The sequence below is a fragment of the Homo sapiens genome, chromosome 20 (assembly GCF_000001405.40).
Source record: "Homo sapiens chromosome 20, GRCh38.p14 Primary Assembly".
Classification (NCBI taxonomy): domain Eukaryota; kingdom Metazoa; phylum Chordata; class Mammalia; order Primates; family Hominidae; genus Homo; species Homo sapiens.
In genome coordinates this window covers 58,786,554-58,787,955 of record NC_000020.11, presented here as the reverse complement: position 1 = coordinate 58,787,955, position 1,402 = coordinate 58,786,554, and the positions used below count along the sequence as shown (strand labels likewise).

Genomic DNA, 1,402 nt, shown 5'->3' with positions numbered 1-1,402 from the left:
AGCATGGATGCATGCACAGGGGTTGGTTTTGTTCATAGTTGTATGCATGATACATCACGTATTACTGAGCGGATGGACGTGGGAGACCTTGAAGCGGCTGGAGCGTTTAAACACCCCGCGGTCTGGCCCACAGAGGCCGCTGAGTGCCGCTGATGTGTGGAGGCTGCTGTTGCCGCGGGTGGGGGCTGCTGGGTCTGGGGAAGGGAAGTAGAATGCAAACACCCCCGGATGATTCTCCAAAAAACCTAAACAAAGAATGGGCCAGACAGAAGGCTGGGTAAGAGGCAGCAAGGGCAGCCGAGGTCGCCGCAGCCCTGCCACTGAGGTCAAGTTCAGGCTTCTGGAAGGAAGGAAAGGAAAAGACGTGCAGAGGACTCTGGATCTGCAACAGGCTTTTGGGGAACCACAGCTCCGACGAAAGCGAGGCTTCCACGGGCCTGGTGGCGTTTGTACAAATTGTTACCAGAGAGTTAACCAACAACAGCCTTCCCTGCTGGCTTCCAGCTGGCAGGCCCAAGTCCCCGAGTCCCAGCTCAGCATCCTGGTCATGCCACAAGGAACATGCGTCAGAGAGCTCTTGGCCAGGCCAGCCCTGAGCAGCCCTCCTCCCCTGCCAGGTGATGCTGTCCCCTAATGGGAGTTGGTGGGACCTGCCCCTTCTGCACTGCAGGGAGCCCCAGGGGCAGAGCTTGGAGCTGGACTCATCAGCTTTTTTCCTGCTGGAACAGAGAAAGACCGTCTCTGGTTCAAGCCCCTTGGCATCCCCAGGAAGGCCTCCAAACCCCACACCGTCCCAAACCCTAGGCTTGTACATGAAAACCCTTCATCCCTAAGACAACAATAGGAGTGAGAGGGAATGGACACTTGTCTTCTAGAGGGGATGAGTCAGCTTGGGGCCCTGTCCACACATCTCACCCCCCAAAGGTGGGGCCGGCTGGCCATAGGGATCCCGAGAGCTGGTTGCATACATCTGGGAGCAGCACCAAGGCAGATCCCAAGACAAGCCAAGCTGCGCCTTGCACTTTCTTGGGGAGTGTTCCATGAGCAAGAAAAACCTGGGTTGAGGAGCAAAAAGCTCACGAGTTTCTGTCCTAGTTTGGCAGTTTGCAGGTTTTTAATAACGGTGAGAACAAACACTTGAAATGCGTGAGCCAGGCACTGCCCTCAAGCCTTCTCTGTGAACCATCTCATTCCATTCTCACAATCATCATCCTCAATCTACTGATGAGGAGACAGAAGAGGCCAGCAGTGAAGTACCAGGCCCACATGCAATCACGTCTGGGGGACTTTAAACCCGTGCTTTTTTTTTTTTTTTTTTGAGACCGAGTCTCTTGTTGCCCAGGCTGGAGTGCAGTGGTGCAATCTCAGCTCACTGCAACCTCCACCTCCTGGGTTCAAGCGA

The 1,402-nt window shown here is 55.0% G+C and overlaps 1 annotated feature.

Moving 5' to 3' along the window:
* Positions 285-962: an enhancer, noted in NCBI's record as "H3K4me1 hESC enhancer chr20:57362050-57362726 (GRCh37/hg19 assembly coordinates)". NCBI's record gives its function as "activates a minimal SCP1, AML or CMV promoter by ChIP-STARR-seq in naive H9 embryonic stem cells {active_cell/tissue: H9 hESC(naive)}" and the evidence as "EXISTENCE:reporter gene assay evidence [ECO:0000049][PMID:30033119]".